This window comes from Homo sapiens, chromosome 4 (assembly GCF_000001405.40).
Source record: "Homo sapiens chromosome 4, GRCh38.p14 Primary Assembly".
Lineage (NCBI taxonomy): Eukaryota > Metazoa > Chordata > Mammalia > Primates > Hominidae > Homo > Homo sapiens.
The window spans coordinates 170790554-170805348 of NC_000004.12; positions in this window are offsets into that span (position 1 = coordinate 170790554).

Genomic DNA, 14795 nt, shown 5'->3' on the forward strand with positions numbered 1-14795 from the left:
CAACTTCTAGAAGAAATTGTAGATAGAGTCTTGTGACTTTGGGTTAGACAAACAGTTTTTAGCTATGATAGCAATGCACAATCCATATAAGAAAAAATAGAAAAATTGAAATTTATAAAAATAAAAATATTTTGATATTTGAATAATAATGCTTAGATCAGATTTCTCAAAAAGACTTGTATCCACAATCTATGAAGAAGTCTCAAGGCATAATGTTTAGGAAACAAATATTTTATTAAATACATGAGAAAGAGATTTAAGCAGACACTTCATCAAAGTAGATATTTAGATGACAAATCAGCATATGAAAAGATGGCTCGATATCATTAGCCATCAAGAATATGCAAAATAAAGCCAAAATGAGAAACCACTTGATATGGTTTGGACCTGTGTCCCACCCAAATCTCATGTTCAATTGTCATTCCTAATGCTGAAGGTGGGGCCTGGTGCGGGATGATTGGATCATGGGGGCAGTTTCTCATGAATGGTTTAGCACCATCTCCTTGATGCTGTTCTTGGGATTGTGAGTAAGTTCTTGTGAGACATGGTTGTTTAAAAGCATATGATACCTTTCCTCACCCACCTTCCTCCTGCTCCAGCCATGTGAAGTGCTGGCTCCTGCTTCACATTCTGCCATGATTGTAAGTTTCCTGAGGCCTCCCTAGAAGCTGAGTAGATGCCAGCATCATGCTTTCTGTACAGCCTGCAGAATTGTAGGCCAATTAAACCTATTTTCTTTATAAATTACCCAGTCTTAGCTACTTCTTTATAGCAATGTGAGAACAGACTAAGACACCACCACATGGCTATTAGAATGGCTAAAATTTAAACTGAATAAATGACCAAGAACAAACTGACAAATAAACACCTGACAATTACAAGTGCTGACATGGATGTGAATTAACTGGAATTCTCATACCTTGCTGGTGAAAAACTAAAATGGTACAGCCACTTTGGAAAACAGTTTTGCAATGTTTTATAAAGTTAACCATACATTTATCATATAGTTCTTCAAACCCCCTCCTAAATATTTCAAGAGAAATAAAAACTCATTTTTACACAAAAATCTGCTCAGAATGTTTATAGTAGCTCTATCCCCCTCAAACACAAAATAACTCTGTGTATATTTAACTGATAAATATGCAAACAAACTGTGAAGCATTTATATAATAGTAATACTTGCACATAAAATAAAAACTATTAAACATGCAAAAACATGAGTATACTTCGAGTGTAATTTGCTAAGTAAAATAATCCAGATTCAAAGGCTACATTGAATACTTTCATTTATATGACATTGTGCCAAAGACAAAACTATAGAAATAAAAGGCATTGTTAGTTGCCAGCTGCAGTTGAATTGAGTAGAAGGGGATACTAGGGAAATTTGGGGGGATTAAAATGTTTTACATTTTGATTATTGTGGTAGTTACTAGACAGTGTATGTCAAAAATTCAGAAATAGAGTGTACTATATATTAGATCTTAATAAACCTGAGTAAAAAAGTGTAAAAAGCACTACTTAAAACATTTACTTGAATAAGATTTAATATAATTTCTGTTAGGAAACTATTTCTTAAAAAGAAGAAAAGAAGTCATAAAAGAGTGACAAATTTCTTATTATTAAATTTTAAAATATTATTCATCAATGGATACCATAAAAATGAAAAAAACAGACTCGAAATTGGAGGAAGTTATTTAAAACAATCTATGCAAAGATTAATACACAGTGTATATAGTTTACAAAAGATAACGAAAAAATCAAATAAAACATGAACAAGGCATACAAATAGGCATTTTTTTAAAAGAGGAAAATGGAAAAGCCAATAATCACATGAATGGACACTTAATATGAGAAAAGTTAAAACCACAATTGATAATATTTTATGGGCCAAATGGCCAGGGACTGTGGGTGGCCTCTATGATCTGAGAGCTTTCTTCATCAAGAAGCTGAAATCTTCAATCCGCAACCACAAAACCGTGGAATCTGCCAATAACCTTGAGAATCTTGGAAGCAGATCTTTCCCCATTTAAACCTCTTATGACTGCAATTCTCACTGACACATGGATTGCAATTCAGTGAGACTTTGAGGCAGAGAAATCAGCTAAATTGTGTGCCAGGGCTTCTTACCGATAGAGACGGTGAGATCATAAATGTGGGTTGGTGAGATCATAAATGTGTGTTCATTTAAGACAGAAATAGAAAACTAATATAATCTTTATTCTCAGTTTATTCAAATCTAAAATGGAGACAATAATAGTATTTATCTCACAGGGTTATTTAATCAATTCGTTTGCTACTGGACTCATATTGAATTTGATAAATAACAGGTATAGATCCACTTAGAGACTTTAGGTATTAGGTTGTTGCAAAAGTAATTGCGGGTTTCGCGATTACCTTTAACGATGAAACCACAATTACTTTTGCACCAACCTGTAGGCACTTTTTGAAAATGGGTTCCTCTAAATCTAAGGAATCTGTGACTCCACTTTTTAGGACACGAGATAATGTTATATATATATATATATATATATATATATATATATATATATATATATATGTTAATGGCCCAGGACCTGTGTAATTTTATAAGAATGGGTTAACTCTACTACATGCAACTTAGAATTACAGTGGCCACAATGGGGAAGTTTTAAGTCAAGAGGCACACTAGAAAAAAACAATTCAAAACCTAAAAAAAATAAAATGGAATATATTTCTGATGGGCATTCAGAAGTTTCTAAAAGACTAAATGAATAAAAAACAAAAACTGCCTCTCTTAAAAAGAGAAATGAGAAATCTTAAAAGTCTTTTCATAAATATTAGTAAAAATCTTTGGCCATCTAGCTGAGTAACCTTGTTCCATCAGCCAGAAAAAACCATCTGGATATAATTTTTAAAAAATAAATTAGTGAGCTTCATATTACTGTACTTGGCACATAGCTACAATTTAAAAACGAAAACTATAAGATCTCCTTCTCCTCCTCCACAAGAAAAAAGTTATAAAATAAAAACAGAATGGATGTAAAAAAGTGTAGAAGTTTTGTAGGAAATGAGCCTTGTGATAGGAAACTTGTGTGTGACTAAGCTAAGACTTGAACATACACTGTTTTTAAACTGAGCGTTAATATCAAAAGAACACTGATGCAAAACTAGAATCTGGTTCTCTCTGTTAAAACAAAGTTTGCTTGGCATATTGATCTGCAATGTAGGTTTCTGTATTTGCCTTTGAAGCCTTTGAAATATCACTCTGGTCAAATAAATATTGCTTCACAGCGACTTGTGATTCTACTTAAACATGTGTTTTAAACTTTTTGACATTCTTGACAACTTTCAAATATAAAATTCTAAATTAAGTCCTTTTGAACTTGAACTAACCTTGGGAATTTCTAGTGAGGTCCTGGTAGTATCTCAACAGAATTTGTTCTCTCTCCTTATAAAAAGTGAAATGTTAAACTAATTAGATTTATTTGATATGTTTAATTGCATGGAAAGTACCATCAAATAAAAAGTGATGTTGAATCTTCTTTAAATCATATTGTATAAGTATGTAATTAATATGTTTTAGAAATTTTATAAAATTCCTAGAAATCTGATAATCCTGGCAAAATGCTTTCAGTCTTAATTCTAGTTGTCTTAAAATATTGTTATGTTGCAGAAGTAATAAAATTTCCTTATTAATAGCATTAAAATAACCTCTCATCAGATCTTTGACCATAGCTACTTTAAGGCTTGTCATCCACAGACAGTTAATTGTTTTACTCTGACACTTTCCTGAAAGCTATTGAAAGTAACTATAAACCAAAAGTGTTTTCTCTTTGAAGTGAATTCTTAGAATGAATTCTGAGAAGTAGAAGTTTCCGATAACTTCAAGATATACCATTGGTTTGAGTAAGAATTCCCAAAACTAATGGAGAAACTGATTGGTTCATAAAACTGAAAACACAACATCAAATAGAACAAGGACTAATTAAATACCAAGGAAATAAATTTTCATTATAAGTCATCTAGAACTGAAACTGTTAAGATATGCAATTTGTATGAACTCCATAAAATTGACCCAAGTCCAGTGACCTATGATAGCCTATTTAATACAGTGCTATTTCCCTGATTCAAAAAAAATTGCTATCTGAAAGGATGTAAATTTAATGTTAAGTACTGATTTATAGAGGGCCTGGAAATCCACTTAGTCCTTGCTGAATCCTAAGCTTCTATTATTAAAAACTGTTCTCCATGACTCATCGAGCAGATAATATAATACAAAGTATGAAAAAAAATTGTTGTGTTCACGGTTTTAAATTTATGAAAATGGTTTAAAACCAACGTTTGGTTTGTCAAGCCAGAATCCTAGGAAGGCAATAAAAACTTCAGATGGTACACAGGTGGTAAGTTTTTGCCACCTGTTGGAAATTTGAACACTTACAGATGGGTTTCTTTCAATTACTAACCATAATGTAATATCATAGTGTTCTTGTAATAGTCTGAATGTTCTCTGAATGGATAGAAACTTTTCCATGTAGGATGGCTGATGCTAGAAAAGTAGTTAAAGGTGATTTTAAAATGTGTTTCTACACACATTTTTAACACATCATGTGATTTCACGTGATGAGTTATAAAACAGTTATAAGATATTAAAAACACAATGGTATTACCATCCTTCTATCATGTTCAATCTTCTAGGAGTATTAAAAGGACAAATGATGTTTTAAAACTGAAATTATCAGTTAACTGAATTGACTGGATTGCCTTGGCCACAGGTATTACCATTGGCCATGATAACCATCAGATCCACCCTACTGGAAAACACAATTTTACCCCTCAACCCTTTATAAAATAGCTATTGAGATATCTATATCTTTAATAATATAATATAATGTATTGCTCATTCTCATAAACTTGAATATGCCTACACACTGCGGGGCTTTAATGCATGATGCCTATGTATATTTTCACCAGGTAAATGAAGCCTTCCATGATGCACCAGCAGATGACAACCTAGAACCTAGTCATTCACAATCTAGAACTTAAAAATCGGGTCTTTTGTAAATGACACCAGAGAAAGATGTCCCTTGAATGCTATTGTAAGGGACCATATCAAGTTCTTCTCACCACTCACACTGCAGCAAAATTTCAAGGCCTTGAACCTTAGGTTCACATCTCTCAACTCAAGGGGGGCCTTTCACACACTTGGGACTGTATACCCATTGGACCAGGGAGGTCTCTTCCCAAAAGCAAATGACATTCTAGATGTGGACAGCTTTCTCAAGATCATGAATCATGGCTTCTCTCTGCTGTCATCATGGAAACTTTGTTATTTTTTCTCATTGCCCCATGCCATCTTTTTGTTTATGTGTGGCAATATAGTTCCATGGTTAATATATCACAATCAATATATTCTGGAGGAACTTAACTAAATTCTGGATGTGTCATGCCAAACTTAAATCCCTACATAATACTAAAGATCCTCTGGTTCATCCTGTAACAAATTTCACTGATATTTCAAGTGTGACTATCTTTTAAATCTGCACATCTTGTCTTTTTTTATTAATATAAAGCTGGGCTTTTAGATCCACATATTCAAATCCCTTGCTTAAATGTAAGAGTAGTCAAAAAAAGCTATAGTGAGGGTTTTTCAGTTGAATATGCTGAAAACTGAATAAGAAAATGAAAGGGAAAGATAATTTGACAGTTGGTAGAGAAATTCATCATCTTTATTCTCTCATTGTTGGTTGCCTTTGATTTTGCAATAATTCATTTACTTATCCTTGGATAAAAGTACCAGTTTATCCTTGGATAAAAAGTACCAGTTTTTTCCTACTAATGACCCCTAACATACAAGGTGTCCCACAGTTGTTCTTTGTGCCCCTCCGAGAACTATTTTTGCCTATGGAGGATTTAACAATAAGCCATATAAAAGGGCAACTTCACTCAATAAGTAGGAAATAAATGTCTCAAAAAGGCAGAAATAAGAGATTATTGTAAAATAGGAATTCTAACAATACTACAATTACTCCATAATCGAAAACTGAACATTGGTCTATACATCTTAATTTGCACTATAGAATACGGAAGAATGTGTTAATTTCTCTCAATTACATCTTTTGGTATATGCTTCCTGTCTCATATATATATATATAAAATTATGATTAGAAATCTACTTCAAACATTAGGTAGTAGAGCTGACTCTACTCATAAAGACTATAGTTGTTCAACAGAATCATGTAAACTCCCTTGAAAACATTGTGTTAGATGACAAGACTGCCTTAGACTGTCGGTTGGCTGGAGAAAGGAAAGTGTGTGTAACAGCTAACACTTCCTGTTGCACTTGGATACATATATCTAGTGTAGTAGAAACTCAGTTGTAAAAAAAAAAACTGACAATTCATTTGTTTTAAATAAATAGATTTATCTTCTGGCTGATTCTTTGATGTATTTGTTTTTAATCAGTTTTGTTCATGGGGGCCTCGGTTAAAGAGCACGTTTCAACCATTTGATATTATCCCTACCAGGTAGTCTCCCTAGTGAGCTATATCCTCATAAGAGTCTTAAATGTTTGTATGTAGCCATCTACTGTGTGTCAAACGGTTTCACTCCGGTTTTAGCACCAAAAACTTGAAAATAACATAAGTAATTACTCAACTAACTTGACATCATGACTTGTAAATTCCATAACAAATAAGTCCCTTTCGATGGTAACAGAGAATGTCATCAAGACCCAAGTTTTTGGTCAGTTTCTCAAGATTGAGAGACTGATCAAAAGGGGAGGGTTAATAAACTAAAATAAACAGGAAGCCATTAAACTGAGGCTGCCTCTGTATTTCCAGTTTCTATGTAACAAAGTGCAACCTAACTTAGTACATAAATAAACTGAAACCTAACTTAACTTAAAGCTTAACTTAAAAGTATAGTTTCAGCTAATCCCAAAGAGCAAAGGTTCAGCCAATCCCAGGCAGCCAACTAATTATACTATGTGCAAATAAGGCAAATGCCTAAACCATGCCCCTAAAAGACAGTTCCCTAGCTATAGCAAATCCAGTGATTTACCCACTTTTGTTTCTGCGTTCTACTGTAAAAGCTCACTGCTCATGCTGCTGGGCAGAAGTCTCTGAACCGTTTTTGGTTCTGAGTGCTGCCTGACTCATAAATTGTCCTTTGCTGAAATAAACTCTGTTCAATTTAATTTGTCTAAAGTTTAGATTTTAACACCAAAGTATAGACCTTTTTTTTTTTTTGCCAGAAGGAGGAATTATGTGTTTTAATTTTACAAAGACTTAAAGAAAATCTTTGGCCAGGTGATGAGTAAGTTCAACATTATAAAAAGCGTAAGAGAAATTCTGACCTTTCTGTCATAGAGAAGTTGCTGAAAAGGGCAAACCTCTGTCCTAAAAGATGTCATGGTTTCACAGAAAACAGAGTAAAAGGCTTGTAGCTTGTTGTAGCAGAAGAATGCCCATTACCATGTACATAACCATGTACAGCAATGCCCATCACACATACTAGGGCCTTTTTCCATTTTTTTAGAGATGACATAAATCTCCTGGAATTCTGTACTATTCAGTATAAATGGACAGGAACACCCAAGATTGACTTAATCCACATCCATCTTAGTATTATTGATGAGTAAGTGAGGTGCTCACATCATATTAATTTAGAAATTTAAATTATAGTTACCTTTCCTGTACATTAGTTTTGTAAAATAAATTCTTATTTACTAATATATTGGATGGCTGCAAATAAGAAAAGTATGTCATTGCTTGGGTGCATTGGCTCATGCCTGTAATCCTAGCACTTTGGGAGGCTGAGGCGGGCGGATCACCTGAGGTCAGGAGTTCGAGCCCAGCATGGCCAACATGGTGAAACCCTGTCTCTACTAAAAACACAAAAATTAGCTGGGCGTGGTGGCATGCGCCTGTAATCCCAGCTACTGGGGAGGCTGAGGCAGAAGAATCACCTGAACCCAGGAAGCAGAGGTTGCAATGAGTTGAGCTCACACCACTGCACTGCAGCCTAGGTGACAGAGGGAGACTCCATCTCAAAAAAATAATAATAATAAAAATAAGTCATTGGGGAAATCGGGTTGAAAGAAGGCAAGCAGATTGTTTAAATAAGAAAATGTCCCCTTGGTTGGTAAAATGAGACTTGATGGTAATAATGTTAGAATGTTCAGCTTTTCTATGTACAAATAATTTTTGATTTCCTAAAAGTGGTAAAACTATTTCTTACAGGAAAACAAGAGTAATGAGAAAATATTAGAACAACTGAATGCATTAAGTGGGTACACATTCTACAAAACCATTCTCCTTAATGATTTGCCAGACTTATTTTTAACAAAATTTTAGAATTACGTAGAATTAATATAAGTTTAATATACATATTTATTATTCAATAGACACTAAAGAGGTCTCCTTTTAATAGGCAAGTGAATGGTTATTTGTGAAGCTATTTCAAATTCATTGTATAGATGTCTCAGTGATTTTAATGATGACTAGGGACATATTTAATTTAAGACATACTCTAATTTTCAAAAATAACCTACACTCTATATTCAATTAGGCATAAAGATAATTTTTAAAGTTGCATGGTTACTTTCTACCTGAAGTATACATTGCAGTTTTCTACCTAAAATATAATACAACTTTTAGTAATCTTGTTAGCTCAAAGAAAAACATTAATCAAATGTTGAGATCAAAAAAATAAATTCAAACTGTAATATAAACTAATCAAGTATTTTACCATTAAATTTTGAGGTACATAAAAACAAGTACAAAATTAAGTGTGATAAGCTGTAGTAAATTCATTACATATCTTTGGAAATACTTTCCCATATTGTATAGTAATTTCAAGTTTGAAATGTGACAATCAAATTTTCAGTAATCTGGGGAAGCATGATTCTTTTGAAAGCAAATAAACAAGTACAACTATTATTTTTATACCTATAGAAATATACTATTGATGGGATTTAAATTCTTCTATATATACCAAAACAGGACTTAAAAATCATGAACAAAAGACAAATGGTCTTTCTTTTTCTAATAGAGGCATGCTAAGTTACTGGAATTAGCCAATGGAGTGTATGTTTAAACACAAACAAGCAAACAAATGAATAAAACTGAAAAACAACATATCAATGAGATAACAAGAAGAAACCCACAAATTTAATTGACATCCAGAAAAATTGAAGATAAAGAGAAAAACATAAAAGCAGACCAAAACAATTACCTTCACTTGGCCGACATCTGACGGCCAGGAGACAGTAAAATATCTTCAATCTGCTGGAAGAAATAAATTTGCCTACCTAGAATTCTATAATTGGTGACAATATTTGGAGGAACAATGGCATTGACATAAACTAAGAGAGCTCACTACCAGGAGACCCACAGTAAAGGGAATTATAAAGGATGTGTTTTAGGTAGCAGGAAGTTACTCCAGGAGAAGGTATGTGTTATAAGAAATAATAAAGAACAAAAAGCTGAAATAATACCAAGGTAATCAAAGATAAATAATCACTATGTGTGTGTATGAATATAATAATGAATACTGATTACTTTTACTTCTCCTTCATAAATATTAGAAAGTGAGAGCAGTGAGTTAATTTATAGCTCAAAATTTTGAATTATATCATGGAAAAATAGCCTTCAGAAGTGTTTTACCCTTTTCCTTCAAGTTGTTTGTATTTTTTGATGAGCATGTACATTTTGGATAATAAAATAGAAATTATAAAACTGATTAAGTACAGAGATTATTATCACCATTAAGAAGAAATGAGTGGAGTTCTAAAATTTAATGAGTTACTCTGCTAATGTGATTTTTATAGTCATTTTTACAATTTCAGATTAGTTTAGTACTGATGCACATCAAAATATGTTGTAAATGAACAAGGTTAAGTAATCAACATGCATGACTTCAAATTCTTTAATGTCATTCAAGTAAACTGAAGTAACTTAATAAAATTCATCAAAGGGCTTAATCAGAGTATACTTTTAATAAACGACAGACACAATTCACTTTAAGAAAACTTCATGACCTCCCATATAAATTTAATTTGTTGAGTTACATTATATAATAATTATTGATTGTATATTTGTGTGACTAGTATTTAAAAACAAGCTTCTGCTAGCAAAGTTAAATATTTCTAACAAATCATTTGTTTTAAAATAGTGGAGCCTCTAGCCTTTAGCCAGAGGTGTGCATGAATTCCAAGGAGGAGATTTCTTTGCAAATTTAGTAAAAATTGCTCCTTTCTTAAAAGTGAGTACTCTTATCCATCATCAAACACTGGATTTATATGATTAACAAACATCTAATGATTGAATTAGAAATATTAACATCAGCATCACTTTCTAAATATCAAACACTGGATGAAATTTACTAATGTTACTTTATTACTATTTATGAACTATTTGACTGAATAGTAAATGCTTGCTTACACATACAATTTCTTTCTTAAGTTTCATGATTGATTACAATATTTCTTAAGATAAATTCTATTTAGTGTTTCACCTCCCTATTACATATAGCCAACACATTAAACAACTAGACTTTTTCTCCTTAACACTTTTTAAAAGAATTCAAACAATTCATTTTTTTTGAAACATATTGTGATAATTCATAAATATCATGGTTTATAATGGTTAAAAAATATCATAGAAAAAAGTATTGCAGAGAGCAGAAATGATTTTGAGCTGATTGGGCATGATAAATAGAGGCAAAAGACCATAGGATATGGCAAATAAGGAGAGGACAAAAATCTATTGAGGAAGAGGTATAAGTTGTGAAGAAATCATAAATTAGGTGAGTTACATACCGCATACTACAATGTAACTTATAAGTGAAGTTGTTTGTCCATTGTTTGGTAAGTAACAGATTAAAAATTGAATTGATGGCAGCAGATATAAAATATCATATTTAATCCAAAGAAGAGAGGGAAGGGAGAGAAAGATTATTTAGGAGCCTACTACAATAATCCAACACTGAGGGGTGTTTGCTAGAATAAGTAAATAAAATACTGTAAATAATATGCTTGTAGTAACAAGAAGAATAAAAGTGATGTGAAGGCTAAAAGTTGCTGCAGGCTTTCTGAAGAACAAATATATTAAGTGACAATTTCAAATGGGAAGTGAAATGGGGAAAATAAACGGATAACTTTATGTCCTTCAAATATGAAAAAAGGGAAAGTTGAGGTGTCACTAACAGATGTGAATGACTTAAGAAAAAGGACTCATTGTTCAGTTATTCATGGTTTCAGCAGGTATTTCTTGGCTATCTCCCGTGCACAAGGAATTATGCTATATAATAGGAATGAAAAACTAAAGAAGAGCAGACATAGTTACTGCCACGGTGGAATTTAAATTTGGTGAGTGAAATGAGCAGTAAATAACCCACACAGAGAAGAGATATAAAATTACAATTGCAAATATGCTTATAAAGGAGAGGTTCATGATGTTAGAAAGCACATTATAGGGGAGTTTTGACTTTGTCATGAAGACTGGGAAGAGTTTTCTGAAGACATGAATACCAAGTTCACTTGGATAGAAATACAGTAGAAAAAAGCAGAAGGCTGTAACCAAACCTTGAGAAATGTCCACAGCTGGACACAGTACTAAAACGTTTTAGTAAAAATGACCAGGTGGATATGTTTTGAGACTGAGGAAAAAAATGAGGAATACTTGACAATTTTTTACTAAATGTGACTAAAAGTCACTGGCCAAATAAAAAGTATACTTAAATTGGAATAAGTTGAATTTGGGCCTTAATTATTTTCATTAACTATGGTACCTTGGTAAGCATTCAGATGACAAATGAACTAGCTCGTGATACACTTTACCTTTGCAGCCTTGCATTATAATACAAAATTTTGTACATATAAATTTTACATTTTCCAAATATTGTATCTAGAATTTCAAACTACCTGAATCACACAAATAATGAGATTATTCCTGCTATAATTTCTGTTATAACACAATATGATCTCTTCCTGACAAGCATTTTATATAAATTACTGCAATTTTAATGTTAAATGTTATTTTAACACTTGTGTTTGGACTCCAACATGGAATTATATTACTTACTTTATTAGCTCATTTACCACCTACCATGCTATATTATTAGATAATTCTTTGAACATGAAATGTTTGGGGTTACTTCTGATAGTAATTTAAGGACCCCTTTGGCTTACCATTTACTGTCTCTTTCCATAACTGTTTCATGTCTGTGGTCTTTATTAAAAATTAGGGTAATTTAATCAGTACTGATTAAGATAACTCTTATTCAGAGAAGAATTTGATGAATTCCAAAGTGATATTACAATGTAATTTATAAACTCTCTTTTGCTAAAAAGAAAATGTTCAAGCCATCACTTTTTAGAAGGATTATTTATATTAATAAATATTTTGAAAGACTTCTACAATTACATTGAATATTGTATGGCTTTTTCTTTATATGATACATTTACAATATACTAAACAATCAACTCTTCTGCTTTCATCATATATTATATAGGCTTTATGATTCTAGGTATACATATTATAGTATGCCCTTTACCAGCAACAGTGGTAGCTGACTCATGTCTTCCACATTCACTAAATTTATATGGCTTGCATATATATATATAATAGTTGAAATTATATATATATTTAAACTTTATTAATATGTGAGTTTCGGAGTACCTATAGAAACTTAGACTTTCTTCTTGAAATATATTTAACAATTTAGTGGATAAATTATAAAACTAATATGTCTTTATAACCAATATGGTTTCCACTATGGAGTAGAAAGCAATTTATTTCTATCACCTAGGCCAATTTGATAATTTTTAAGAGCATTATTTTTATTAAACACATGGGGATATATGACTAGTACAAATTATATAAACATAACACCAGCATTGTCATATTTCATATGACCACCTTGAGTTATAGCTTTGTATTTGACTTGACTAATACTTTAATGCTTTTTTGTGTGTGACCATTAAATGATGCAAGCGCATTGTAATTCATCTAATGAAAGTGTAGACAAAAGTAACTAAAGATAAAAAGTGCATGCATTCTATTCATTGAAGGAAAGACATTACTTTTTGTGTAATTTAATTAAAATTCCTCTCTCTGTATATCACTATATAATGTAGTTTATAAACAGTTTGCAATTTGTACATTACCAAACTGAGTGTTTTCTCATTTATTGTTATTCATTTCTTTTTCTCTGCACCTTATTCATGCTTTCAAACATGCTCCCTGAGCCTTCTTTTCCACTCACCAATAATACTCTGGGTTAAAATGTGACCTTTTAGTTATTTTCAGTTAAAAGCATTTTCTATCTTGTTTGGTCTCATTTATAACTTCAATTCAGATCATGTTGAAAATTAATTTCCCTTTGCTTTTCTCAGTGTTGAACAGGAGATGATGACCGATTAATTTAACTCACCCTTTCCTTCCTTTTCTGGATCTTTTCTGTTTTGTTGAATCTAGTGAAGCAGATATAGTGAAAGAAGGGAAAATATCTTCCCTCTAATATATCAAGAGAATCACATAGAGTCAAAAGGCAAATGAAAACTGTAAGAAAATATTGAAATTTGTATGAAACTGATGAATAATTATTAAAGTTTAGATGAGAATAGAAATACAAATCAGGTAGAAACATGAGCAAAAGACATAAAAATAAGATTCCAAGACAAAAGTTTACATATGTCCTTAAGCATTAAAAAAAATTAAGACTTCACTGAAATACTACTTTTCATGTATCATACAAGTAAAAATTTTAAAAATTTGACACTACACTCAATTGGAGAACCTACAGAGAAAGGCATTATCACGAGCTGCTGAACGGCATTTAGCAATATCTAATAAAAATATATACTGACGTTTCCTTTGACCCAAGGATTTCACCTTAAAAAATGTACTATAAATACAACTTTTATTCGTAGAGGTGTAGAGTTGAATAAATGAAAAAAATGCATTAATTGTGACATTACATACAATAGCAAAATGTTGGAAACAATCCAAACTCCCATCCACAGGATACAAGTTGAATTTATTAGGGTCATTTTTGTAATGGAGTAGTATGCAAATATAAATAAGAATGAGGAAGATTTCTGTGAACCAATAATCAGAGATTCCCAGAATATATGTAGAGTAGAAGTTCAATGGGAAGAATAGAAATGCAAGTAAGACTTTTCTAAGCATATCTTTTTATGTTATTTCTTCTGATTTGAAAATTAGAGCATGTTAAATCAAAGATTCATATATTCAAAAATACATAATAAACTATAAATTAAAAACTCAGATTTTAAAATCAAATACAAGAAAACTCTAATAGTTTATCAAATTGCTATCACAAAATTATATGTTAATGATATGGGAGGGGTGGCGGAGAAGTGCTGGGTAGAGAAAGGCAAGGTCCCTGGCGAGGGCTCCACCCTCAGGCCTGTACCCATGGACCTAAGTGAGGACAAGCACTCTTGCTTTCGCACCCAAATGTTGCATTTTCCAAGACCACTGTCGCCCGCCATGCCCCCCACTCTGTGCCTATAAAAACCCCGAGACCCTAGCAGGCACATACACAGGCAGCTGGACATCCAGAGGAGCAGAGGAGCGGTAGAGCACACCGACAGGCACCGGTAGATGCTGGCAGGCCATTGACGGTGGGAGGCGTAGAATTTGGCCAGAAGCAATCAGGGGAGAGTCCAGCCGCTGGGCAGCCAGATTTCAGAGGAAGACCACCTTTCTAACCCATCTCTCTTCTGGCCTCCCATCCACCTCAATGAGAGCTACCTCCACTCAATAAGATCTTGCACCCATCCTCCAAAT